The sequence below is a fragment of the Homo sapiens genome, chromosome 2 (assembly GCF_000001405.40).
Source record: "Homo sapiens chromosome 2, GRCh38.p14 Primary Assembly".
Classification (NCBI taxonomy): Eukaryota; Metazoa; Chordata; class Mammalia; order Primates; family Hominidae; genus Homo; species Homo sapiens.
The window spans coordinates 28,881,169-28,908,434 of record NC_000002.12 but is presented as its reverse complement, the minus strand read 5'-3'; the positions used below and the strand labels follow the sequence as shown (position 1 = coordinate 28,908,434).

The 27,266-nt window shown below is 42.6% G+C and overlaps 1 protein-coding gene across 1 annotated transcript in view, besides 8 other annotated features; it reads right to left on the bottom strand.

Annotated features, from left to right (window-relative positions):
• Positions 1-13,768, bottom strand: part of WDR43 (WD repeat domain 43) — a 53,553-nt gene extending 39,785 nt beyond the window's left edge. The window contains exons 1-3 of the mRNA NM_015131.3: positions 13,512-13,768; positions 6,311-6,448; positions 1,854-1,975 (exon numbers count right to left, since the gene is read on the bottom strand). Coding sequence (NP_055946.1) covers positions 1,854-1,975; positions 6,311-6,448; positions 13,512-13,736 — 485 coding nt within the window. The 5' untranslated portion in view covers positions 13,737-13,768. The remainder of the gene's footprint in view (positions 1-1,853; positions 1,976-6,310; positions 6,449-13,511) is intronic.
• Positions 12,379-13,000: an enhancer, noted in NCBI's record as "H3K27ac hESC enhancer chr2:29118301-29118922 (GRCh37/hg19 assembly coordinates)". NCBI's record gives its function as "activates a minimal SCP1, AML or CMV promoter by ChIP-STARR-seq in primed H9 embryonic stem cells {active_cell/tissue: H9 hESC(primed)}" and the evidence as "EXISTENCE:reporter gene assay evidence [ECO:0000049][PMID:30033119]".
• Positions 13,001-13,624: an enhancer, noted in NCBI's record as "H3K27ac hESC enhancer chr2:29117677-29118300 (GRCh37/hg19 assembly coordinates)". NCBI's record gives its function as "activates a minimal SCP1, AML or CMV promoter by ChIP-STARR-seq in primed H9 embryonic stem cells {active_cell/tissue: H9 hESC(primed)}" and the evidence as "EXISTENCE:reporter gene assay evidence [ECO:0000049][PMID:30033119]".
• Positions 13,075-13,174: an enhancer, noted in NCBI's record as "active region_15528". NCBI's record gives its function as "activates an Ori minimal core promoter by ATAC-STARR-seq in GM12878 lymphoblastoid cells {active_cell/tissue: GM12878}" and the evidence as "EXISTENCE:reporter gene assay evidence [ECO:0000049][PMID:35858748]".
• Positions 13,275-13,394: a silencer, noted in NCBI's record as "silent region_11318". NCBI's record gives its function as "represses an Ori minimal core promoter by ATAC-STARR-seq in GM12878 lymphoblastoid cells {active_cell/tissue: GM12878}" and the evidence as "EXISTENCE:reporter gene assay evidence [ECO:0000049][PMID:35858748]".
• Positions 13,415-13,464: a silencer, noted in NCBI's record as "silent region_11317". NCBI's record gives its function as "represses an Ori minimal core promoter by ATAC-STARR-seq in GM12878 lymphoblastoid cells {active_cell/tissue: GM12878}" and the evidence as "EXISTENCE:reporter gene assay evidence [ECO:0000049][PMID:35858748]".
• Positions 13,505-13,564: a silencer, noted in NCBI's record as "silent region_11316". NCBI's record gives its function as "represses an Ori minimal core promoter by ATAC-STARR-seq in GM12878 lymphoblastoid cells {active_cell/tissue: GM12878}" and the evidence as "EXISTENCE:reporter gene assay evidence [ECO:0000049][PMID:35858748]".
• Positions 13,705-13,784: a silencer, noted in NCBI's record as "silent region_11315". NCBI's record gives its function as "represses an Ori minimal core promoter by ATAC-STARR-seq in GM12878 lymphoblastoid cells {active_cell/tissue: GM12878}" and the evidence as "EXISTENCE:reporter gene assay evidence [ECO:0000049][PMID:35858748]".
• Positions 25,878-26,041: a silencer, noted in NCBI's record as "fragment chr2:29105260-29105423 (GRCh37/hg19 assembly coordinates)". NCBI's record gives its function as "represses an EF-1alpha promoter that drives an FKBP-Casp9 reporter gene in an ReSE screen in K562 erythroleukemia cells {active_cell/tissue: K562}" and the evidence as "EXISTENCE:reporter gene assay evidence [ECO:0000049][PMID:32094911]".

Here is a 27,266-nt window from a genome sequence, read left to right as displayed (position 1 = left end):
AGGTTACTAACATAGAAACTACTGTGTCTGCTACAAGTAAATGGAGCACAAATACTCACTGAGCCATCAGGGAGATGGTTTACTTACCTGCATCTCCAACCCCAAACCCCTACTTAAATCTAAGCCTCTAGCACCACCCTGTCTGCTGGGTCTTATCTTTCACATAATGTTATTTCAAAGCCAACTTGTCTAAAAACCCCAAAACCATGTATCTCTTCTGACCATAATTTCTATCCTCTACCATGCATTATCCCCCTAGTACCTCCTCCCTCTAAATTGGTTTACTTGCCTAGTTAGCAAAGCTGAAAACTAAACTCAATATCCCAACTCAATGATTGCGATCATTCCCATTTTAACTTCCCACACTTACCATCCTACAACCAGATTACAGTAACAATCTATCTGCCTTCTCTGCCTTTAACTAGCTCCTTCCCCTAAACTCTACACATTGCTGACAGATTACTTTTTCCTAAAGCATTACTCTGAATACTCTATCCCAGAGACACTGACCTGCAGTGGCTTTTTTTTTTTGAGACGGAGTCTCGCTCTGTCGCCCAGGCTGGAGTGCAGTGGCGTGATCTTGGCTCACTACAAGCTCCGCCTCCCGGGTTCACGCCATTCTCCTGCCTCAGCCTCCCGAGTAGCTGGGACTACAGAGGCCCGCCACCACGCCCAGCTAATTTTTTTTGTCTTTGTAGTAGAGATGGTACCCCATGTTAGCCAGGATGGTCTCAGTCTCCTGACCTCATGATCCTCCCGCCTTGGCCTCCCAAAGTGCTGGGATTACAGGCGTGAGCCACCAAGCCCAGCCTTTTTTTTTTTGAGACAGCGTCTTGCTCCATCACCCAGGCTGAAGTGCAGTGGCACAATCATGGCTCACTACAGCCTCAACCTCCCAGGCTCAAGCAATCCTCCCACTTCAGACTCGTATCTGGGGCCACAGGCCATGCATGCCACCACACCCAATTTTTTTTTTTTTTTTTTTTTTGTAAAGAGGTGGTTCTCACTATGTTGTTCAGTCTGGTCTCAAGCAATCCTCCCACCTTGGCCTCCCAAAGTGCTGGGATTACAGGCATGAGCCACTGCACTTGGCCAATGGCTCTCTCTTGCATACCAGACAGAATCTAAAATCCCAACTGTACCAGAACTAAAAAGAGCAGCATTAGAATCCCTTCTCTGGCAGCTGCAGGACCATGGGCATCATTTTCCTCATGAGGGTCCTCAACTACACAGTAGGTGGAACTATATTCAACAGCCCACATTTACTAAGCATCTCCTATACGGCCAACCTCAGGATCAGGTGGTTGAACTATAATCAATGGTCTATAATCTTTATCTATGACACAAGGCCAGGCTCTTAGGATCCTTTGACCCATATCATCTGCCATCCATTATCCCCTAGTATGTCCCTCCTCTGAATTAGTTTGCTCTGTGCCAAGTCAATCTTTTACATTCCTGTCTCCCTCCATTTGTTCTTGCCATCTCCCCAACTTCTTTTCTCCACCCTTGAAAGCATTCTCCCACCCTCCTCTATCCAAATCTTACCTGTCCTAGAAGGTCCAACTGAAATCCCTTCTCCTCCTCCAGGCCTTCCCAACACTACTGTACTCGGCTGACAAATAGTCACATGCTACCTTGTGACATCTCTCATACAGTTGCTTTATTTTTGTACCATTTTTAGCTTTTATGTATTTTATGTGTTTTAGTATTTTATGTATTAAAATCTTGCATGCTCGATTTGATTAAAAGTTCTTTGTAAATGGAACCTATAACCTTATTAATGTCTGCATTCCCCACAAGTCCAGCATTTATCCACGTCTATTGCATTTCCTGATACCATGAATGTTACTCACCACTTTACTTTGCATGTCTGTACGTTCCATTCCACAATATGTTTATCATCTGAACAACTATATAAACAGCCACTGTCTTGATGCCACTGTATGCAGTTGACTCTGTTGTCATGTCCACCACTCTGTAGATTAAAAAAAAAAAAAAAATTTAAGGCTGGTCTCAAACTCCTGGGCTCAAATGATCCTCCTTCCTCGCTCTCCCAAGATGCTGGGATTACAGGCATGAGCCAGTGCTCCTGGCCCACACGTGGATATTTCAGATCAGTAGAACTACATAGAGCCAATGGTGTATTTTTTGAAAAGGTTCCACTGGTGATCTGAGGCCAGTCATTGGCAGAGGATGTGAAAGGCAAATAGAGGCGACCATGTTAGAGATGTAGTTAATAATATGTAGAGGTAGGAGTCAACTCTTCTTTTTTTTAACTGACAAATGAAAATGAATATATTTATGGTGTATAAAAAAAAATTTAAGAAGAAAATAAAACTTGTCTTACATATTATGATAATATGAACCCTAGAGTCATTACCAAATAATTAACTAAAATGTTAGGCCTTAACCTAACTAAAAGCTTTAACCTTTATCTATCCATTTGAGTTTTCCAACATCATAAATGAGATAAACAGGGCAGGCGTGGTGGCTCACGCCTGTAATCCCAGCACTTTGGGAGGCTGAGGCAGGCGGATCACCTGAGGTCAGGACCAGCCTGACCAACATGGCAAAACTCCCATCTTTACTAAAAAAATACAAAATTAGCCGGGTGTGGTAGCACATGCCTGTAATCCCAGCTACCTGAGAGGCTGAGGCAGGAGAATCATGTGAACCTGAGAGGCAGAGGTTGCAGTGAGCCAAGATTGCGCCATTGCCTCCAGCCTGGGCAACAACAGTGAAACTCCATATCAAAAAAAAAAAAAAAAAGAGAAGAAGAGAGAGATAAACAGCTAGAATTTCAAAATGTTAACTTTCCTTCTCCTGTTTAAAAATAAATAAATAAACTACTTCCACACCCCAAGTCAGCATTTAAGGTAAAAATCAAGTATAGTCAAAAATATCCTCGAAAAATCTCTTGTAAAAAAATGTACCAAAGCTATGTCTCAAAACAAAAATCACTGTTACTTCAGGTAAACACTAAATGCTTCCTTGTACTATGGGGCCATAGCATATAAACAATACTTATACATTTACAGCATAGCAAGATGCCCACTCACTAAGAGGCACGTAGGAATAGAAACTGAGAAGAGCTCATTCATGTTTCCCATCTCACAAACATTCCAGGACTAACTCACTTAGCAGAATGAGGTGCTAAATCACCCACACTGCAAGCATTTCATTCTTTCTACCTGAAGTCACATTTATCCATTATCCATTATCCCCTAGTATGCCCCTCCTCTGAATTAGTTTGCTCAGTGCCAAGTCAATCTTTTACATTACTGTCTCCCATTCCTGTCTCCCCTCATTTGCTCTTGCCATCTCCCCAACTTCCTCTCCCCACCCTTGAAAGGATTCTCCACCCTCCTCTATCCAAATCTTACCTATCCCAGAAGGTCCAAATGAAATCACTTCTCCTCCAGGCCTTCCCAACACTGCTGGAACTCATCTGACAAATAGTCACATGCTATCTTGTGACATCTCTCCTACAGTTACTTTACTTTTGTACCATTTTTAGCTTTATGTATTAAAATCTTGCAGGAATAAAGTAAATACGTATACAATGAAACACCACTATGTACATATCTAAGCTAAGAATAAAAGTGATTACTCAAAATTACTAAAGCTACTTGGAAATAACATTGTTACCACTTCAAAAGAAAAATATTTTAAAATGTTACATTCAGTTACTTTCCTTCCTTCCTATCAGCTGTGTACTCCAAGAACTAAGTCTTATATACACGCAAGTAACTAAAGGATATGAACAGATACATTCCACAGAAAGAATTCAGTTAGAAAATATACCAAAATATTCAACCTTGTTAGTAATCAAAGAAATACAAACCAAAACAAAGTGGCATTTTTAGTCTGTTCCTGTAGCAATGTGTTTAGCCTTATGATGCCCATGCTGGTGAGGTTACATAATACTATTGCCAGCAGCAGTGTAAACTAGCATACCCTTTTGGAAAGCAATTTAGCGATGTGTTCACTCACTTGTTCACTTACTCATTCAACAAATATTTACTAAATACCACTTACAAGCCAGGCACTTTCAATACATTATTACATTTAAGTCTTAATAAAATCATGCAAGGTAGGCTGTTAATACCCATTTAAGGGATGAGAAGTTAAATTATTCACACATGATCATACAACTAGTAGGATTCAACCTCAGGACAGACTAGCTCCAAAGCCTGGTCCTTTTCCACCTTACCATACCATCCCAGTACCCCTCACCCTGACCCTCTTGACTCCTTTTTGATAAATTCATCCCTGTCGAAGATGTATTTACAATCTTGTAAGGTTGTGAAATGATATAAAAAGGAGTTCTAGGCTGGGTATGGTGGCTCATGCCTGTAACCCCAGCACTTTAGGAGGCCAAGCAGGCAGATCACACGAGGCCAGGAGTTCGACACCAGCATGGCCAACATGACAAAACCCCATCTCTACTAAAAATACAAAAATGAGCCAGCTATGGTGGTGCACGTCTGTAATCCCAGCTACTCAGGAGGCTGAGGCACGAAAATCACTTGAACCCAGGAGGCAGAGGTTGCAGTGAGCTGAGACCGCACTACTGCACTCTAGCCTGGGCGACAGAGTGAGACTCTGTCTTTAAAAAAAAATAAGTCTTCTAGGCTCCAGCAGCCACAGCAGCTGAGCAGCTATCACACTGCACAAGATGCTAGGTACCTGCTGAACACAAAAAACCTATCCAATTAAAGGATAGGCTCCTACCTATAGTAGGTGTAAGAGCTCACCTGAGGACCACACTCGACTTGGAGGAGGGGGGAAGAATATAGGGAAGAATGCTTTCTTGAGATGGATCTCTGAATGCTTTAAAATTCATTTATAGTTGAGTATTATTTTTGTAATCTTAATATAAAAACAAGTAATACATTCCTAAATGCAAACTTAAAATCAGATTAAAATATTCCTCTACCAAATTAGCTGTTTCTTTGTTGTCGTTGTTGCTGTTTTGTTGGGCTATTCAGTAGTGGTAATGATACTGCTGAGATAAAGTACTTATCTCCTATCACTGATATTAAGCATAAATTAGTAAAAATTATTCCAGAAAGTATTTTTATACTACATATATAGCAACCCTTTGGCTCACTAATTTTAGGTTAGTAATTCTGTGAATCCATGTAAGAAAAAGAAATTGTTTTACAACAATTTAAAAATCTGGAAACCCCTAAATGGTCAACAAGTTAAGTAACATAATGGACTATCCCACTTGTTGGGATTTTAAGCAGTCACTAAAAATCTCTATAACCAGTTATTGACAAATATAAGATAGTTATGTTGTAATCTAATGAAAAAAATCAGGATACAAACTAGATGAACAGAAAGCCAACTATATTTTTTTAATGTATGTATAAAGCAAAGAAATATACAAATTATTAAGAGGACCTCTCGGCGACAGACTTAGGTATAAATTTTTTTCCTTTTCAACTTTATGTAGTTACAAATTTCCTATAGACAAATGTTATTTAAAACAAAAAACTTAAAACACTCCTATATACAGAAGTCCAGCGAACAAAAACACACTGCAATAGATATTGTCTGAACCTACTAGACCAGTTCGGTTACTGTCTTCCAATGCCAAACCATCCTTTATATTCTGCTGTGATGCTGGGACTCAGCAACCTGATTTCTGATTTCCCAGCTCGATCCATAGGTTCTACCAATAGCAACTGCTAGAGGGAGACAAGGATGGAGAGAGAAGGGACTTGTTCCTTCCTGTCTCTTTATTTGCATCACCCCAACAGTGGTAATGCCCAACAGCAGCAGCTGAACCCAATATCCAATTTATCCAACCCTAGGAGAACCAATCTCATCATCTCCATCAGAGACACTAGCACCAGGCAGCTGGAGCCTCCTTCTCAGTTTGAAGTCTCGATCCCATGCCCATGGGGCCACTCTTCAAGAGACAGCAACAGCAGCACAACACTTGCCCCTAAAAGATCTCAGTGTTAGCAGTAATTTCAACTGCCTCCTTTATTCCCCTAGGTCAAGAGGTGGGGAGCTGCTTTCCACAGCTGCTATCTATGATTCCTTAGAGTTCCTGTAACCCTTCCTTATTTTAAACCTAGTCAATAAGTCTTCATACTCTGACCCATAATAAGGACTGCTGTTAACTATTATAGCTTTTATCAAATATTACTATTCAGTTATTTAAACGTAGATGAGACTGAAAACTGTCCCTACTGCACAGATCCCATCACATACCTTGAAGTGTTTTTTTTTTAATAATCTCTAATAATCAGCTTCCCTGTCACATCACTTTTAAATAAAATATACACACACTTACTATTAATTTACTGTGTAACTCTCCTTTTACTGTGCTGTATAATAAAATGCTACCAACTGCTGTGCCAAGAGCCAATAAGTCAGTCTGGTTACTCATTCCTACAGCTTCTGATTTCCTTTTTTTCCTCTGGGGACTTTCCTGGAAAAAAAGAAAAACAATGTTTTTATTTAGTATTGCAAATACTAAAACATCGTTAATGAACAAATACAAATGCCCACCAGCCCACAAAAGACATTTTAAAAGGGGGGAAGAGAGAAGCTATTGGGTGATTTACTTCTCACTACTTCAAAAAGAAATCCCTCCAATGGGAAGAGAAACTCGTAATTCTATGTCCCCCGTCTCCCACCCCTATGGAAAAAAGGCAGCAAATAGGAAAACCTAGTATGTTCTTGGTACTCTCCTAACAGGTCCAAGAAGCCTCAATGCTGTTTCCACTTCTCAGAAACAGGCCGCCCCTCCTGACAGGTCCAACCTAAGCGAAGCCTTCACTCCCCAACCAAAGAGATTCATACCCAAAAATCTATGAATCCGTAAGTCCATATCTAAGCAGCCAACTCTCCTTTATCTCTCCTAATTTTTCCACAAATTCTAGCTTAGTTGTCAAGAAAAGAGCCTCAAAAGTTTTTACCTTTATAAACGTGCATTAACTTCAATTTGAGTCAACAAATAGCTTTAACTAGTAGAGCAGCTCAGAGCACACAAGAGAGAAGTTGCCCCACTGACTGGTCAAGGGCTGGCTCAGTGATTCAGTGACTTCAGAGACAAAAGTCTCACTCAAGTGGCAAATGCCACAAGACTTCTTTCATTTCAAAAGTGATGTTAACAGCTCATGTCTTCCCAACAAAAAGACAATGACCCTAACTTAAAAGCACTACATCAGTTTATAATGCTGAGTATTTATTATGATTTCAGAACTTCTCTTCCGTGTTTTTTTAAATTACGGCTCACCAGCCTATATGTTTTTAGCATAAAGTTCTGAGAAATCCATTCTTTCACTGTAAAACAAGCCAATACCATAGAAAAGAGAATATCTTCTTAATAGTGCAGGATCTTAGCTCTACAGCACGCATGGGCATGCACACAGCCCAAGACACCTAAAAATCTGTCTTAATTCAAGAAAAACCAATGACAACCACAACGTTACCAGTGCATAAAGAGTGTCAGGGAGTAGACTTAAAAAGCACTTTCCATTTTTTTCTTTTAGTTATCCTAGGGGGATTTTACATTTAAAGAATTTGATTCATTGGACACAGATGAAATGCAGTCTAACAAAAAAAGGTAACCTACTTACAGAAAAAAATAATACACATCTTGCAAGTCCTTAGAAATATATCTTGCAAGTCCTTAGAAATGTACTAATAAACACAAAAGAGAAGTTACAATTAAAAGCCAAAGTACAAAGTCTGATGGTCTCATTTAACTTGTTGAAACATTGAAACCTCAATTTTAGGAGTGTTCTAGGTCCCCGTTTCAGTTACATGAATTTCTAAAGCTACCTTTGAATGATTCCAGGGGCAAAAATAATTTCTGTATAAGGTTATAAATACAAACACCTATTTCAGGCAAGGAGAGTTGGGGGAAGTACATTAACCTAGTACCATCTCAGCAGGAAAAGATTCATCTTTTTAAAAAGATTCCAAGAAGGCTGAGTGTGGTGGCTCACGCCTGTAATCCCAGCACTTTGGGAGGCTGAGGCAGGTGGATCACGAGGTCAGGAGTTCAAGACCAGCCTGGCCAACATGGTGAAACCCCGTCTCTACTAAAAATACAAAAAAAATTAGCCGGGCGTGGTGGTGGGCGCTAGTAATCCCAACTACTCAGGTGGCAGAGAATTGCTTGAACCCGGGAGGCAGAGGTTGCAGTGAGCCGAGATCCTGCCACTACACTCCAGCCTGGGCGACAGAGACTCATCTCAAACAAAACAAAACGAAAAAAAGATTCCATGAAATCTTTCTTCTACTCTTGGTTTTCCCAAATAAAAACTATCTAAATGGAAGTTTCTCGATGTGTGAAACAAAGACAGGTCCAAATATGCGTATGCTTTATTGCCAATTTGAATTTCCATTAAAAAGCACAAAGAAATTTTAGAAATTTACATAGCCTATGTCAAGCATAACATAGTCAAAGCCTTAATTTCTGCATCTGCAAATCTCTGTATTTTTTGGTAGAAGCAAGCAGGGGCAGGCGGAAGGAATATCTACAGCATTTATGACCAACTTTAAGGATAACTGGTCTAAACCTAAATATTACTCCAATTTATTGAACTTAAAGAACTCAGGACTCATTTATTTTTCAGGTTGGATGGTCTTTATTCAGCAGGATAAGCATATTTAAAAAGGTAACACATCAGACCAGAAGTGTATATAACCAATGTACATTTTAATGAAAACTGATACTCCAAGTATTACCCATACTAAATATTTTTCAAACCAAGAGTTTAGTGCTACTGATTATAGATGAGAAACTTCTGTTGGCATTTACTATCTAAACATGTTATTCCTGTGATCAAAAAAACTTCAATGACTCTCCAGAGAATAAATCAATATAAACAGTTCTATGGCATTTAAAAGCATCCACAATTTGCCTTCAACCCACCTTCTCTAGTCTTATCTCCAATTCCATCCTTAGGTTAACACTCCCTATACACCCATTTTCCTATTTTGCTTTTGCTTTTCCTTCACTTGGAAGGGGACCTTTCCTACTCACCTCAATTTTCATTGGTTAAAAATCCTATCCATGCTTTAAGGCCCACCTCAAATACCACCTCCTCCACGGAAACTTCTTTCCCTTAAGACACATGTCATACCCTGCATTAGACACGGCAAATATGAAATGTATTTCTTCTTTTACACTTTAGTCACAGTCAGTTGTGTTTCCTCTTAAGTGCCCAGCACAGATTATACAGATAAATATATTAAGTAATAAAAAGGTAGGCTAAAAAATTTAGTTTATATATTTGTAACTGGAAAATCTCAATTCCTGAAGGCATCAGAAGTGAATACCCCAAGGAGGTGATTTCTCGGACTAAGGAGTCTTTTCCACCATGAAGGGCAAACTGAGTTAAGCAACGAATACTGAAACCTGTCTTATGAGAAAAGCTTATCAGCATTTGATCCATCATCAGCATTTGATCCAGAAACAATCAGAAGGCTGAGGGAGAATCTGAATGGCACATGTGCATAATTTATAAAAGCAAGGAGTTGTACAGATGGGATGAAGACAGAAAAAAGCACATTCAGGTGATGAGAAGTCTGAATTTGTACAGCAATTAAAGTAATGACTTTTTAGACTAAAATCCCAGAAAAAGAGGAGTTTTACATGCAGTCACTACACTCTCATAAAAATACACATATAGAAACAAGCTTCACAGAGAAACTTCCCACGGCTAGTAGTACTCTGATACTTTCCATTCTATTTTGTTTTTTTTTTAATGTTACAATCCACTAAGTTTATTACATAATCCACTAATGGATCAAAATCTGCTCTGAGAAATACTGAACTCTAGACACCAAAAAGTATGCCAAGTTTCAAGTTTCATTCTGCAATTAGTCTCCTAATCCATTTCTTCATCTATCTCACTGCCACTGCATGTGTGTTTCACAGATAACAGTGAACAAAATGTATTCATTTTACAAAAAATCACATACAGTATTTATAACAAATCAATTAAGTCCTAATACACAGAAACTTCTATTTCTGCCAATCAGATCTATCTGCAACCTTTACTTCTTAGGAAGTTTAACTGTTAGCAAGACCTCAAGACAGACCACTGCACAGCACATGTGAACTGCCCTACATCTCTAAGGGATGGTAATGCAGATACCCAACTCAGACACCCTGTCCAATGTCTGAAATGCCATGTGCTTCATTCAACAAGTACTAAGCTGTATAGGGTCATCTTAATTGCAGTGACAGCAAAGCAGTATAAACACATTTACTGTGATAGCCAATAGCAGACAAGGTCTGTTAGAGAAGGAAAAGCAGAAAAGTCGGAAGACTTTCAAAAGTTTGAAGACAATCAAATAGCAGCATCAGTTCCTAGGTGGCTCAGTCACTTTACTATGTGGCTTTGGTAGAGAATATAATTAACATTTCTGCCTCAGTTTACACACATAAACTTGAGGAACTCTTAAAAACAGCATCCATCTAGATAGAGTCCCTCCATTTGTATTTTTGCACTTTCCTATCTTCTTGTCCTCATTAAAGGTCCTCTTCCCCCAGGCTCCAAAGACCAAATGGAATGCTCAGCTACATAACGTACAAAAACCCTCTAAAAACTATTGTGGCACGAATGCAAAGTATTGTAATCATTCTGTGACCAACAAGAGGTGACAATCTAATTTTTCTAAACACCTGTGAACCACAAACTTAACCCGTTACCCAAGAAACCCAGCACTAACTAATCTTTCTCCATTGATGAGTTATCATCACCACACTTTGTCCTTGCGTAGCAAACTGCCAATTACTAAACCAAACATAGAATACTTTTCTTACAAATTGATTTACCATATTAAATGCCAAATTAAATGGTAAAACGAGTCCAGATTCACTCAATAATAACATTTATTAAGCCACTTATTACATACTAGGCCATACTACACCAGTCACATACATTGCCTAATTTGATCCTGAGGATCCTAAAAGGTGGGTGATGATACCTCTATTTCAAATTTGAGAGTACTATATGTCATCATATAGCAGGACCTTAACAAAATGCTGGAAAGTGGGTTCAGAGCAACATCCTTTTCATGCCTCATACACTAAGCCTCAAAGATGTAAAATAAAAGGAAGGGTTTAATAAGATGAGAGCACCTTAACATGTGCCTTTTTTTTCTAAGATATCTTGTTACAGTACATATGACTTTTTAATTTTATACCATAATATATGTGCAAGTTTGTTTTAATACAAGAAAACTGTCTCTCCTTAGTTTATAAGTCAAACTGATGCTCCAAGAGGACACACCCTCAAAGTAGGGAATGTCTCTACATTCCTTCCAGCTCTCTCAGTTCTGTGACTCAAGATTGAGAGTAACAAAATCGGGGCACTTGACCAGGAGTTCGGGGCACCATGACTCTAGAGGCCACACTCCTTTATTGGTTATTAAGGCTTGAGTCAAGTCATTTACCTTTCTTAGCTCTGATTTTCAATCAGTTTTTTTAAAATGCAATTAATTTCAGGGGATTCCATAGTCATGTGGTTAAAAGGAGACAGTGCAGATAAAACGATGCTGAAACCTAGAAAAAAATTTTGTTTAATGTAGCTCAACTCTCGTTTGTCAATGAGGTCCTCAAAATTAAAACAACTTGCTCAATATGACAAAGTAAGTTTTGAGTCTGGGCTATGAAACCAAATCCAGTTATTTTTCTAGTTTACCATAGTGTTGCACATAATCCAAAACTATGACTTTTAATATGAGATTAGGAAATTTCTCTTGGGCATACAATGCAACTGAAACTCAACAGAAAAGCAAAGTGGGTGACATTTTTTCCAACCTAATATTAACTATCTGTTGCAGATAACCAAGAACCGAGCTCTTAAGGACCTGAGTTCTAATCCTGGTTCCATTTTTTACTTTATTCAAGTTGCTTAGTTTCCCAGAGTTTCTGTTTCTTTCCCCGAAACAAGGCAGAAAGTTCCTTATCAACACTTCAGGACTAACCACACAAATATCAGATATTAATAATACTTAACACTTAAAGCACTTACCTGTCAAGAACTATTCTAAGTGTTCTCTGCATTATTAAATATATTAACCTTCACAACCACTCTATGAAGAAGATATTATTATCCTCATTTCATAAATGAGGAACCAGAGGGGCAATTACCACTATGAAGCAGAGGCTAGAATCAAATATAGACAATATAGCCAGCTTGGGTCCACGCACCTACCTAACCACTGCTCCGTATTTCTCTCAGCATTAGTATTACTATCACTTTACAGGACTGTTAAAATACAACCACAGAAAACTTTGAAAATAAAAGATAAGCAGAGCGCTGTAATTTTAACAATAAAAACTGATTTTTTTTTTAGTTTTATGTTTGACTTATAAGCCCTGATAGGTTTATTTTATGAATCAACAGGATAAACTATGAAAATGTAGCTTAAAATTTGAAAAATATCTAAACATGCCCAAAGTATAGCAACTTATATGTATCCCTTTTCCCAACCCAAAAATTTAGCAGGCTTCCCAGGTCGTCAGAGAGAGTAAGATCCTAAATAGCTTTTACAGTTCTCCACATTGAAACAGCTCACATCACACACCTCAGGATACCTGATGTTTCCAAATCACTTTGCAGTGATTCGGTTTGGCTACTCTGTAAACGCAATAACCACGTGCATGCTGAGTTAGAGAGATGTAGCTGAGTGACTCAACAGTGAAAGGCATTTACCTGACACGGGTCCCTAACAATGAAAAGCTCTGCCTAACTCGGCAGTTTTCCATCTAAGGGTAATTTCATCTGCACTCATAAAACATTCACTAAATCAAGCTACTACTTCACTTAACCTCCACATCCTAATACAGACTTCAGATTGGGGTGGGTGGGGAGCAGTGTGATCGGCTTGAAAGCGGGGCGGGAGGGGCGAGCAGATGTTAAAATCAAAAAGCAGTGAGTTCAAAAAGCTGAGAATGTAGAGGTGCCTGGGAAAGGCAAAAGTTAAGAGTTGAGAGTCCCACAACCTGGACGGGGACGAGAACACGTGGTGAGCCGGCACCCAAAGGGGGGGCAGGAGGGGGAAGGTCCGGAAGCAAGTACAGACTAGTCCATACCAACTGCCCAGTGCAAAACTGATGAGCCGGATCACAGACAGAGGAAAGTTAGATAGTCCCAAGATGGGGCTCTGTCAAAAACCAGAACTCTGATGAGCCAAGGCCCGGCAGAAGGAAGCCGCCCCAGGGGGACCAGGGGACTTGGCGAACATGGCTGCCCGTCAACAGTGGGGCCCAGGCCTCATTGGGCCAGCCGGCAGGGCTCGGATACGAGGCCGGCCGGGTCGAGCTGCGCCCTCCCTCACTGCCCTCGCGGCAGGCCGCACGCGGGGCTGGCGGCTTGGGCCCTGAACGCGCCGACGCCGCCTCCAAGCCTTCTGGCCCGGGCCGCTGAGAGCCACGCGCGATGCCGGACCACGCGCCACCCGGCCCGGAGGCCCGAAGCCGAGCCCGGGAAGGCGCCCGCCCCGCGCAGTCCCGCTCGCTTTACCTTGGCCTGCAGCCGCGCTGGCGCCCAGGCCAGACAGGTGCAGGTACCACTGAGGTGCGCGGAAGGCACGTACTCCTGGTGCAGCCGGTTGTTGGCCGTCTCCCATACTCGTAAGTGACCGTCGGTAGAGGCCAAAGCGAAGTAGGCCTGGCTGTGCGGGGAGAAGGCGCAAGGGACCCCAGCAGGGGCCAGGGGGTCGCAGCTACCGCCGCCGCCCGCCGCCATTGCTGCTCTGGCCCCGCTGCAGCCACGTGTTCGTCCGTGCGCAGGCGCACCGGCGCGGGGCGGAGCCTGGAGGAGGAAGTGAGGCGGAGGGAGCGCCGGGGGCTCAGGGAGTGGATCTTCGCGTCGCAGGAGAGCTTCTGGCGGATCCGCCCTGTGGACGGTGGCCCGCTAGGGCCTGTCGCTATCTTGTTCTGGGCGGGAGTGGGAGTATGGGAGAAAGTAATTGTAGAATTAAGATCAAGTCCTGTTCCTTTAAAAAAAAAAAAAAAGGGGGGGGGCCGGGCGCGGTGGCTCACGCCTGTAATCACAGCACTTTGGGAGGCCGAAGTGGGCGGATCCCCTGAGGTCGGAGTTCGAGACCAGCCTGACCAACATGTAGAAACCCCCGTCTCTACTAAAAATAAAAAAATTAGCCGTGGGCTGGGCGCGGTGGCTCACGCCTGTAATCCTAGCACTTTGGGAGGCCGAGGCGGGTGGATCATAAGGTCAGGAGTTCAAGACCAGCCTGGCCAAGATGATGAAACCTCGTCTCTACTAAAAATACAAAAAAATTAGCCGGGCTTGGTGGTTGGCACCTGTATGTAATCCCAGCCACTCGGGAGGCTGAGGCAGAGAATTGGTTGAACCCGGGAGGCGGAGATTGCAGTGAGCCGAGATCGCGCCCCTGCACTCCAGCCTGGGCGACAGAGCGAGACTCGTCTCAAAAAAAAAAAAAAAAAAAAAAAAAAAAAAAAAATAGCCAGGCGTGTGGCGCACGCCTGTAATCCCAGCTACTCGAGAGGCTGAGGCAGGAGAATCGCTTGAACTCGGGAGATGGAGGTTGCTGTGAGCCGAGATCGCGCCATTATACTCCGGGCAACAAGAGTGAAACTCCGTCTTAAAAAAATAAATAATAAATAAATAACAATTTTTTAAAACTTTAAAGAAAATGATAAGGTAGAACGAAAGGTTTGAAGGAAATCTTCAGCCGAGCGCGGTGGCTTACACCTATAATCCCACTTTGGGAGGCCGAGGCGGGCAGATCGCCCGAGGTCAGAGTTCGAGACCAAGCTAGGCAAAATGGCGAAACCTTGTCTCTACTAAAAATACTAAAATTAGCCGGGTGTGGTGGTGTGTGCCTGTAGTCCCAGCTACTCGGGAGACTGAGGCAGGAGACTCCTTGAACCCGGGAGGTGGAGGTTGCAGTGAGCCGAAATCGCCACGCCACTGCACTCCAGTCTAGGTGACAGAGCGAGACTGTCTCAAAAAAAAAGAGAGAGAAAAGAAGTCTTCACTTTCAAATTGATAATGATTGTAACAACTGCTTCCGTTTCCCCCTATTCAATTCCAGGCTGTAATCATTTACAAAATAACAATGTATTCAGTTATAATAATGTAAAAGTAATGATCGGAACAACTATTCCCTCCTGTTTCTCCAGATTTATCTCATGTTGCTACATCAAATAGACATTTTTAGGCACACGCCCATAGTCTGGAGGCTGAGGGAGGAGGATGGCTTGAGCCCACGAGGTCGAGGCTACAGTGAGCTATGACTGCTCCACTGCACTCTACCCTGGGTGACATAGTGAGATCCTGTATCCAAAAAATAAAGGGTAGATTTTTATATTTCTCCTAAATATTCACCAAATCAATGCATTCTAATTCAAGGAATGCTAGGTACTGTTCAGCCCACACAGAGCCTATTGCCTGCCAGGAAAGATAAAAACCACTCTCATGGCCATGGGAAGGCTCAAGCTTTTACAGCTACGGAGCAGCATGGTAAGATTTGCATTTTATTGTTTTCTTGTTTGTTTTTGTGTTTTGAGACAGAGTCTCACTCTGCCCAGACTGGAGTGCAGTGGCACAATCTCAGCTCACTGCAACCTCCACCTTCCGGTTCAAGTGATTCTCCTGCCTCAGCCTCCCAAGTAGCTGGGATTACAGGCGTGTGCCACCACGCCTGGCTAGTTTTTGTATTTTTATTAGAGATGGGGTTTCACCATGTTGGCCAGGCTTGTCTGGAACTCCTGACCTTAAGTAATCTGCCCGCCTCAGCTTCCCAAAGTTCTGGGATTATAGGCGTGAACCACTGTGCCTGACCAATATTTGCATTTTAGAAAGATTACATGGAGACAGTGTAATGAATGTATTAGAAGGAAGCTAGGTTGGAGGCTCGAAACCCCAGGTGGAGATGATGGTGAGTGGCTTGGAGAAATAGCGATGCAAGGAAGTTTCAAGAGTGTTTATTATGTACAATGAGCCGGATTTCAAGTGGCCAAGGGAGAGATAGAGAAACGGCCAAGGATTACTCATTGAGCTTTTACAGGGAGAGACTGGTTGGTGACCCAATTCACTTAGGATAGTGAATCCTGGAAGATTTTTGTGCAAGAAGATGATAGTGTCTTTAGTCTGGGAATGCTAAATTTGAGACATCTAATTTGGCACTTGGATTCATTCAGTTACTCAAACAAACTGAATGCCTGCTATGTGCCAGGCACTGTTTTAGGGTACCAGGAATCTACCAGTGATCATGAGAGACAAGATTCCTGCTTTCATGAAGCTGACATTCTAATCAGGGAAGCACATAATAAACAAACAAAGAAAACTCTATTTCAGCTAGTGCAAGCTGCTATAAAGAGAAATAAAGCCGGAGGAGGGAAAAGAGTTTAAGTATTGAAAGGAATTAGGGACAGCCTCACTCAGACCATGCAATATCAGAAGGAAGAGCAGTCAACCTGGGGAGAATAGCAAGTGCAAAGACTGAGGCAACAAAGACCTTGACTAGTGGAAAGAAAAAGCTTTGGAGAAACTTAGGGTAGATAGTGACAACTAGAAAAATCAAAGGTAGCAGCTGAGTTCAGAGGGAGCCAGACTATTTAGTACCTTGTAAATCAGAGTGAAGTATTTGGATTTTATTATAAGTATGATAGAAATAAGCCACTGGAGAATTTTAATGTTTTTTTTTAAGAGGTGGGGTCTTTCTGTGTTGCCCAGGCTGATCTTGAACTCCTGCACTCAAGGAATCCTCCTGCCTTGGCCTCCCAAAGTGCTGGGATTACAGGTGTGAGCCACCACATCCGGCCCCCTGCAGTTTTGAGCAATGAAATAACATGATCTGATTTATATTATTGAAAGACATCCTGGCTGCTAGATGAAGTCTGTAGGCAAGAATAAAAGCAGAAAGACAAGGTAGAAGGCTGTGGAGTAGTAGTCGGGACAAGGACAATGATTGGTAGGACTCTGATGAAAGCAATGAAGGTAGCGAAAAATGATCAGATTCCAGATATAATCTGAAGTTAGAGCCAACAGGAATTGCTAAATGAATTGACTGTGAAGGGTGAGGAAAACAGATGAATGAAGAGTGACTCTGATGCCTGGGCAAATAAGTGAATAGTGATACCATTAGCTAAATTGGGGAAAGAGTTTTGGGTGGAATGGAGATCAATCTTTGCACTTGCTGTTCTCTGCACACTGACTGCCCTTCCTTCTGACCTTGCAGAGCCAGAGTGAGGCTTTGCCTAATTCCTTCGAATACTTAAGCTCTCATTTCCCTTCTCTGGCTTTGTTTCTCCTTGTAGCAGTTTGCACTAGCTGAAATAAAGATTTTTTTTTTTCTTTTTCTTAGATGGAGTCTCACTCAGCAACCCAGGCTGGAGTGCAGTGGCACGATCTCTGCTCACTGCAACCGCCGTCTCCTGGGTTCAAGTGATTCTACCGTCTCACTCTCCCGAGTAGCTGGGATTACAGGCACCCGCCATCATGCCCAGCTAATTTTTGCATTTTAGTAGAGACGGGGTTTCACCGTGTTGGCCAGGCTGGTCTTGAACTCCTGACCTCCGGTGATCCGCCTGCCTCAGCCTCCCAAAGTGCTAGGATTACAGGCGTGAGCCACTGCACCCAGCCTAGAGATTCATTTTTAAATGTGTTTATTATCTACTTCCCTGACTAGAATGTAATCAGTTTTGGACAGTTAAGTTTGAGATACCTACTATACATTCAAGTAGGGTTGTTCAATAAGCAGTTAGATATATGAGTTGGGATTTGGAGAAAACATCACAGTTAGAGATATGAATTTGGGATGCATTAGCATACAGCTGCTATATGAAACCACGGGACTGGAAAGATCATGTTGCGTGTTAGTATAGGTAGAAAAGAATTTAGTCCCAAGCTGTGCCAATCTTTAGAAGTCAGGGAGAGGAAGAGGATTTTGCAGAAGAGATTGAGAAGAGATAACAGCAAGGCACAATGAAAACCCAGGAGAAGGAGGTGACCCAGAAACCAAATTTTTATAATTTCAGAAGCAAGACATGATAAAGCCACGTCAAATGCAGCAAAGATGAAAACTAAGAATTAACTAGTAGACTGGGAAGATCAGGGTCATTGGTGCCTTCAAAAGCGTTTTTAGGCCAGGCACAGCAGCTCACTCCTGTAATCCTAGAACTCTGGGAGGCCAAGGCAAGAGGATCACTTAAGTCCAGGAGTTCGAGACCAGCCCAAGCAACATGGAGAAACCCCATCTCTACAGAAAAATTAAAAATTAGCCAGGTGTGATGGAGTGTGCCTGTGGTCCCAGCGACTTGGGAGGCTGAGGTGGGAGGATCGCCTGAGCCAGAGAGGTAACGGCTACAGTGAGCAGTGATCTTGCTACTCCACTCCAGCCTGAGCAACCAAGCAAGGTCTTGTCTCAAAACAACAACAGCAACAAAACATTCTTAGTAGAGATGTAGGGGGAAATTTTTATTGTGAAGGGTAGAGGAGAAAAAGGGAGGTGAAAAAGTGAAGACAAGTATAGACAACTATTTCAAGGATTTTTGTTATAAAAGAGCAGATATGAGTTTGCATGAAGAAAGTTCTGAGCTAAAATTATCAGATTTGTTAAGGCATAAATATGCAAATAAAAATAAAAGCTTATTGTGCACTTACTATATGTCACTCTCTATTCTAAGTGTTTTATGTGTATTAATTCATTTAGTCCTCACAATAGCCCTGCAATGTAGAAACTATTAATATCTTCATTTTTCACATAAGAAAACTAAGGTATAGAGCTAGGAAGTAGAAGAGGAGCTAGATTTCTAACCCAAATTATCTTTGGGTTCTGACAACCTTACCCAGTGAGTACATGTAGGGTTCACATATATGACCCTCCCATACCCAAGCATATAAATTCCTTGACTTTCTCCTCTTCAATAATCTTGGCCTCTATCCTACATCAGCCACTCCCTCCCACGGTCATGTCCTGTACCTTGTCATTATAATAATGGCACCAACTCCATAATCTCAATTTCCACACCCTCTCTCTTACCACCAACTCCTATCTTTCCAGCTTGCTCCCTCTAGTTCTCAGTCTCCAGCCCATCTTTCTACCATTGAGTCCACATTCTTTTCACCATCTTTCATTTCTTCTCTCTCATGGCTGCACTTCCCTCTCCATGTAACTTAAACTATATAATTATAACCCTCAATTCCCCTGCCTCTTTCTCATACCATGTTCCTGCCTTGGTAAAACCACAAGCCTGGGAAAGTCTAACTCTCCAACTGCAGACACCTGAAGGCCACTGAAGAGAAGCCATAGCCACTCTATAATGACTTGTTTTGTTTTATTTTGTTTCTTTCTTTTTTTTTTTTTTTTTTTTTTTTCTGAGACAGAGTCTCTCTCTGTCACCCAGGCTGGAGTTCAGTGGGGCACAATCTCGGCTCACTGGACCTCCGCCTCCCAGGTTCAAGCGATTCTGCCTCAGCCTCCTGAGTAGCTGGGACTACAGGCGCGTGCCACCACACCTGGCTAAGTTTTTTGTTGTTGTTGTTGTTGTTTTGTATTTTTAGTAGAGATGGGGTTTCACCGTGTTAGCCAGGGTGGTCTCGATCTCCTGACCTCAGATGATCCGCGCCCACCTTGGCCTCCCACAGTGCTGGGATTACAGGCGTGAGCCACCTCACCCGGCTTATTTCTGTTTTGATACAGGGTCTCGCTCTGTCACCCATGCTGGAGTGCAAATGGTGTGACCTTGGCTCACTGCAACCTCTGCCTCCCAGGCTCAAGCTATTCTTCTGCCTTGGCCTCCCAAGTAGCTGGGACTACAGGCACACACCACCACACCCGGCTACATTTTTTGTTTTTGTTTTTTTTTTAGAGACAGGGTTTTGCCATGTTGCCTGAGCTGGTTTCAAGCTCCTGAGCTCCCATCTCAGCCTCCCAAAGTGCTGGGATTCTGACTCTTATCCACTTGAAATTCACATGGGAAGTCAATGCTGCCAAGGTATCAAACAGCTGTTACTCTAGTCCATTCATTTCCACTAGTTCATATCATCTATCACTCAAACCTACTCCTCTATCCTCACTCCCAGCAAATGACTTTGCTTCTTATTTCCTGAGAAAATAGAGGCAATAACAAGAGAACTTCATAAGCTCCCAGTCCTTCAGACTCCACCCACCTGTGCCCCATCTCTCCTGCTACTCTGGGTGAACAGCCTATTCTCCTGGCAAAGACTGTCCCCCACTTCAGTTCTAGGTTCCATTCCCCTCTTGCCTAGTCAAGAATGTGACTCTAAAAAGCCTTCCCTCTCTGCCAGCATCCATTTTTACCTCTCAACTTCATCTTTCTCATCAAGATATCAACATGTTATTATTTATCCTTTCTAAAAAAAAAAAAAGCCTTTTGACTCCACTTCCCCCTCCAGTTACTGTCCCAATCTTTCCGTTAACATGAAACCCAGGCCAGGCATGGTGGCTTATGCCTGTAATCCCAGCACTTTGGGACGCCAAGGTGGGAATATCACCTGAGATCAAGAGTTCAAGACTAGCCTGACCAACATGGTGAAACCCCCATCTCTACTAAAAATACAAACATTAGCTGGGCGTGGTGGTAGGCATCTACAATCCCAGCTATTTGGGAGGCTGGGGCAGGAGAATTGCTTGAACCCAGGAGGCGGAGGTTGCGGTGAGCCAAGATGGTGCCACTGCACTCCAGCCTGGGCAACAGAGCGAGACTCCGTCTCAGAAAAAAGAGTAGTTGTGGTAAGTGCTAACAAAGGAAAGTACAGGGTATAAGAGAAAGTAGCCTGGCATGGAGGGACAGGGTCAGGGAGGAGCTCTTTAAGGAAACACATCGAAGACATTTAGAAAGGCGGTATTTCACCCTTGTCCAAAGCACATTGTTTCCTCACATAGAAAATCTCGTATAGATCTTTCATCTACTTTGAAAGACAAATAACAAAGCCAAAGGCAATGCAGTTCACCAATGTTTGTTGAGTGCTTTTTTTTTTTTTTTTTTTGAGACAGAGTCTCACTCTATCACCCAGACTGGGTATAGTGGTGCAATCTTGGCTCACTGCAACCTCTGCCTCCTGGGTTCAAGCAATTCTTCTGCCTCAGCCTCCTGAGTAACTAGGACTACAAGACATGCACCACCACTCCCGGTTAATTTTTGTATTTTTAGGATACACAGGGTTTTTCACCATGTTGGCCAGGCTGGTCTTGAATTCCTGACCTCAGGTGATCCACCTGCCTCAGCCTCCCAAAGCACTAGGATTACAGGTGTGAGCCACTGCACCAGGCCCTGTTGAGTGCTTTTTAGGTACAAAGCAGAAGATGATAAGCACAGAAGTGTATGCAAATTTTTAGAGGAATTTAGAAGATGGTAACAACTGATTCAGTTTTTGAGGATCCAGTGAGATAGACTTATAAGGTATGAACAAGAGTTCTCGAAAGGGCATTCCAGGCAGAAGGTACTAGAAGAGCAAAGGCACGCAAACAGAAAAGTATGGGGCACATTCAAAGAATAGGGGGTGATTTTGTCAGCTAGTACCTTGAAAGGAAGTGTAGCCTGGTGCTCAATGCCAGTGTAAGGAGTAAAAAGTCATTGAAAGTTTGGGGCAGACAAGTCAATTTATGAGAATTGCACTTTAGGAAAAGGAGTCACATATCCAACTACCTGCAAGGCATTTGCACATGGACAATTCACCATGAGCAGCTTAAGCACAAGTCCCAGTGGAAGTCCCCATAATTCCCTCTAAAATATCTTGTTGCAGAGGCTACTAATTGTACCCTAAATTCCATTTATCCCTAAATTTCTCTACTACATTAAGGAACCTTCCATTTTTACCTGGGCATAAACCTTTCCATAACAAAGACTACATTGTCCAGCATTCTTTTTTCTTTCTTTTTTTTGAGACAGAGTTTTGCTCTTGTCGCCCAGGCTGGAGTGCAAGGGTGCAATCTCGGCTCACTGCAACCTCCTCCTCCCAGGTTCAAGCAATTCTCCTGCCTCAGCCTCCTGAGTAGCTGGAATTACAGGTGCGTGCCACCATGCCCAGCTAATGTTTGTATTTTTTGTATAGATGGGGTTTCACCATGTTGGCCAGGCTGGTCTTGAACTCCTGACCTCAAGTCATCGACCCTCCTCAGCCTCCCAATGTGCTGGGATTGCAGGTGTGAGCTACCACACCCAGCCTGTCCAGCCTTCTTTGAAATAAGGTGAGCCCATGTGAGATGGGCCTGTAGAACAATATTCTTAAAATGAGACCATATGCTATTCTTCACTACTTTTTCATTATTAATCCCTGGAACTCAAATGTGATAGCCAGGACTGGAACATCCATATTGGGCTTTGAGGAGAAAATAACACGCTGAGAATGGCAGAGCCACAAGACTGAAGGACCTAGAAACCCAGAAGCATTACATGTGCCGTGGACCAAGTCCTTTGGACTTTTTTGTTTTTGTTTTTTGTTTTTTGAGATAGGGTCTCACTCTGTTGCCCAGGTTGTAGTGTACTGGCGTGATCATGGCTCACTGCAGTCTCAATCTCCTTGACTCAAGCAATCCACCCACCTCAACCTCCTGAGTAGCTGAAACTACAGATGTTACCACCACACCTGGCTAATTTTTTATTTTTTGTAGGGATATTGTGTGTGTGTGTGTGTTGGCGAGGGGTTCTCACTATTATGCCCAGGCTGGTCTGGAAATCCTGGGCTCAAGCAATCCTCTGCTTCGGCCTCCCAACATGCTGGAATTACAGGTGTGAGCCACCGTGCCTGCACTTCTTTTAGATGAGAGAAAATGGACTTTCTTCTCCAAGTACTATAGATTAGGTTGTACAGCTGAACTTAATTCTGCTCATTCTTTTGTATTCTTTGAGTCAGTTGATGCTACCACCATCTGTCCAGTTAGCACTGTAGAAAGCCAGGAGTCCGTCCTGTTTATTCCCCAGCCCCACATCTCACTTCTACCCAAACACATACACACATTGGATAAATCATCAGATTCTATTTTATCTTTTAAATAATTCCTCATTCAATCTCCTTACCTCCATCCAATTCTATCACCTCTGTTCTTATTTGAGCCTTTACATCTCAAACCTAAGCTGCCACTACTGCTTTTAATTGGACTCTCTTCCTCCAGGCTGGTACCTAGGTATGATCTTTGAAAACCATAAATGTAACCATGCCATCTCTCTCTACTTTAAGCCCTTTCTTCCCAACCTTGCTGGCATGTACAGGAAAAAATCTATACCGCTTAATACATACGGATTACAAAACTATCTATAATCTGGTCCCTGCCAACCTCCCCAGCATCGCTCACTATGGATTGCCTCAAACATCATATTCCAGATCCTGACCTGCTTTTTTTTTTTTTTTTTAACAGAGTCTTACTCTGTCACCCAGGCTGGGGTGCAATCTCAGCTCACTGCAACCTCTACCTCCTGGGTTCAAGCGATTCTCCTGCCTCAGCCTCCAGAGCAGCTGGGATTACAGGCATGCCCCACCACACCCAGCTAAATTTTTGTATTTTTAGTAGAGATGGGGTTTCACCATGTTGGCCAGGCTGATCTCGAACTCCTGACTTCAGGTGATTCACCCGCCTCGGCCTCCCAAAGTGCTGGGATTACAGGTGTGAGCCACCACGCCCAGCCAAGAATAGTCTTTTTAATAAATGGTAGTGGGCTAATTGATATCCACATGCAAAGAATATATAAACAAGAAAGTAAACAACCAGTTTAAAAATCAGCAAAAGACTCGAATAGACATATCACCAAAGATATATGAATAGTTAATAAGCACATGAAAACATGCTCAACATAATTAGCCATTGAGGAAATGCAAGTGAAAACATTAATGAGATACAATTTCATGCCCACTACTAATATGGCTATAATTAAAAAGACAGATGACAACAATAAGTGTTGGTGAGGATGTAAAGAAACTGGAACCATTGTCTATTGCTTGGGGAAATATGAAAAGGTACAGCCTCTTGGAGAATACTTTGGTAGTTTCTTTTTAAAAATGTAACATGAATTTCCCATACAACCCAGCAATTCTGCTTCTAAGTATCTACCCGAGAGAAATGAAAACATATGTCCATACAAAAACTTGTACATAAATGTTCACAGGAGGATTATTTGTGTAGTAAAAAACCATCAGCGGCCGGGCACGGTGGCTCATGCCTGTAATCCCAGCACTTTGGGAGGCCGAGGCGGGCGGATCACAAGGTCAGGAGATCAAGACCATCCTGGCTAACAAGGTGAAACCCCATCTCTACTAAAAATACAACAAATTAGCTGGGCGCGGTGGCAGGTGCCTGTAGTCCCAGCTACTCGGGAGGCTGAGGCAGGAGAATGGCATGAACCCAGGAGACAGAGCTTGCAGTGAGCCGAGATCGCACCACTGCACTCCAGCCTGGGCAACAGAGCAAGACTCCGTCTCAAAAAAAAAAAAAAAACCGTCAACAACCCAAATGTCTATCAACTAGTGAATGGATAAACAAAATATGATATATCCAAACAATAAAATATTATTCAGCAATAGGCTGGGCGCGGTGGCTCAAGCCTGTAATCCCAGCACTTTGGGAGGCCAAGGCGCACAGATCACCTGAGGTCAGGGGTTCGAGACCAGCCTGGCCAACATCGTGAAAACCCATTTCTACTAAAAATACAAAAATTAGCTGGGTGTGGTGGTGCACGCCTGTAATCCCAGCTGCTAGGGAGACTGAGGCATGAGAAAAGCTTGAACCCAAGAGGCGGAGGCTACACTGAGCCGAGATGGTGCCACTGCACTCCAGCCTAGGCAACACAGCAAGACTCTGTCTCAAAAAAAAAATTATTCAGCAATAAAAATGAAGTATTGATATATGCTACAACATGGATATAGCTCAAGAATCTTATGCTAAGTAAAAGAAGTTAGATACAAAACAACTACATATTGTACAATGCTATTTATATGAAATGTTCAGAAAAGGCATATTTCTAGAGGTAGAAAACAGGTGAGTAATTGCCTGGGGCTGGATGGGAATGGAGATGAAGTGTAAACAGGCATGAGGGCGCTTTTTAGGATGACAGAAATGTGTTTTGTTTTTTTTTGAGACGGACTCTTGCTCTGTTGCCCAGGCTGGAGTGCAATGCGGCAATCTTGGCTCACTGCAACCTCCGCCTCCCAGGTTCAAGCGATTCGCCTGCCTCAGCCTCCTGAGTAGCTGGGATTACAGGCGCCCACCACCACACCTGGCTAATTTTTGTGTTTTTAGTAGAGACAGGGTTTCACTGTGTTGGCCAAGCTGGTCTTGAACTCCTGACCTCAGGTGATCCACCTGCCTCGGCCTCCCAAAGTGCTGGGATTACACTTGTGAGCCACCGCACACAGCCGATAGAATGTTCTAAAGCTGGACTGTGGCCAGCTGGGGTGGCTCAAGCCTGTAAGCCCAATACTTTAAGAGGCCAAGGCAGGAGGATCACTTGAGGCCAGGAATTTGAGACCAGCCTGGGTAATGTAGTGAGACCCTATCTCTACAAAAAATAAAAAATTAGCCATGTGTGGTGGCACACTCCTGTAGTCCGAGCTGCTCAAGAGGCTGAGGCAGAAGGATCCCTTAAGCCCAGGGGCTCAAGGCTGCAGTGAGTTATGATCATGCCATGCCCTGCAGCCTGGAGGACAGAGGGAGACTCTGTCTCAAAAAAATTAAAAATAGGCCGGGTGCGGTGGCTCACGCCTGTAATCCCAGCACTTTGGGAGGCCGAGGCCAGTGGATCACGAGGTCAGGAGATCAAGGCCATCCTGGCTAACACAGTGAAACCCCGTCTCTACTAAAAATACAAAAAAATTAGCTGGGTGTGGTGGCGGGTGCCTGTAGTCCCAGCTACTCAGGAAGCTGAGGCAGGAGAATGGCGTGAACCCAGGAGGCGGAGCTTGCAGTGAGCCGAGATGGCGCCACTGCACTCCAGCCTGGGCGACAGAGCGAGACTCCGTCTCAAAAATAAAAATAAAAATAAAAATAATAACATAAAGTTGGTTTATGGTAATGATTGCACAATTTTATTAAATTACTAAAAATCACTGGATTGTTTGCTTACTAAATATTTCCAAATTTTATTAAAATTTAGCTTACAATTGTTAAATTTTATTGTATGTAAATTAACCTCAATGAAGTTTAACAAAAACAGGAAAACCTTTCCTAAGATAGTTTTTTTAATAGTAGAGTGCTAATAATAAATACAGAAAAAGTCATCAGTGACTGTAAAACTAGTCTCAATGTAGCTTCCCATAAATTATTTATTAATTTACAAAGTTAAAATAGTAACTTTACGGTGGCGATATTATAATTAATCTGACTTAACTAAGCAATCAAAGTTAACATCACCAATATAGGTACAAACCGGCAACATATGACTCCTGATACGATGTCTTATGAAGGAAAACTTCAATTCACTAGTAATTTTATGTTTGTTTGTTTGTTTATTTATTTACTTACTAAGACAGAGTCTCACTCTGTCACCCAGGCTGGAGCATAGCCTCAAACTCCCGGGCTCAATGGTCCTCCCACCTCAGCTCCCCAGGTAGCTGGAACTACAGGCACGCACCACTAAACCTGGCTAAGTTTTGTATTTCTAGTAGACACAGGGTTTCACCATGTTGCTCAGGCTGGTCTCAAACTCCTGAGCTCAAGTGATCCACCCACCTTAGCCTCCCGAAGTCCTGGGATTACAGGCGTGAGCCACCACACCGAGGCTTCAGTGATATTTCTACTAAAAATGTGTAATCCACATCTAATCAGGAAGAAACATCAGTCAACCCAAAGCAAGGAGAATTCTATGGAACAACTGACGTGTACTCTTCAAAACTATCAAAGTCAGAAAAATAAAGCAAGGCTGAGGAGCTGTTTTTTTCCAGATAAAAGAAGACTAAAGAGACATGACAACTAAATGAAATATGTGAATCTGGATTGGATTCTGGGCTGGAAAAAACTGTGGAAGATATTATTGGGCAAAATGACAAAATTTGAATGTGTTCTGTATTAGACAATAGTATGATAACAATGTTAAATGTCCTTAATGTGATAATCTGTACTGTGGTTAGGTGGGAACATGTTCTTGTTCTTTTTTTTTTTTTTTTTTTTGGGACAGTCTCACTGTCGCCCAGGCTGGAGTGCAGTGGCGCGATCTCGGCTCACTGCAGGCTCCGCCCCCCGGGGTTCACGCCATTTTCCTGTCTCAGCCTCCAGAGTAGCTGGGACTACAGGCGCCCGCCACCTCGCCTGGCTAATTTTTTGTATTTTTAGTAAAGACG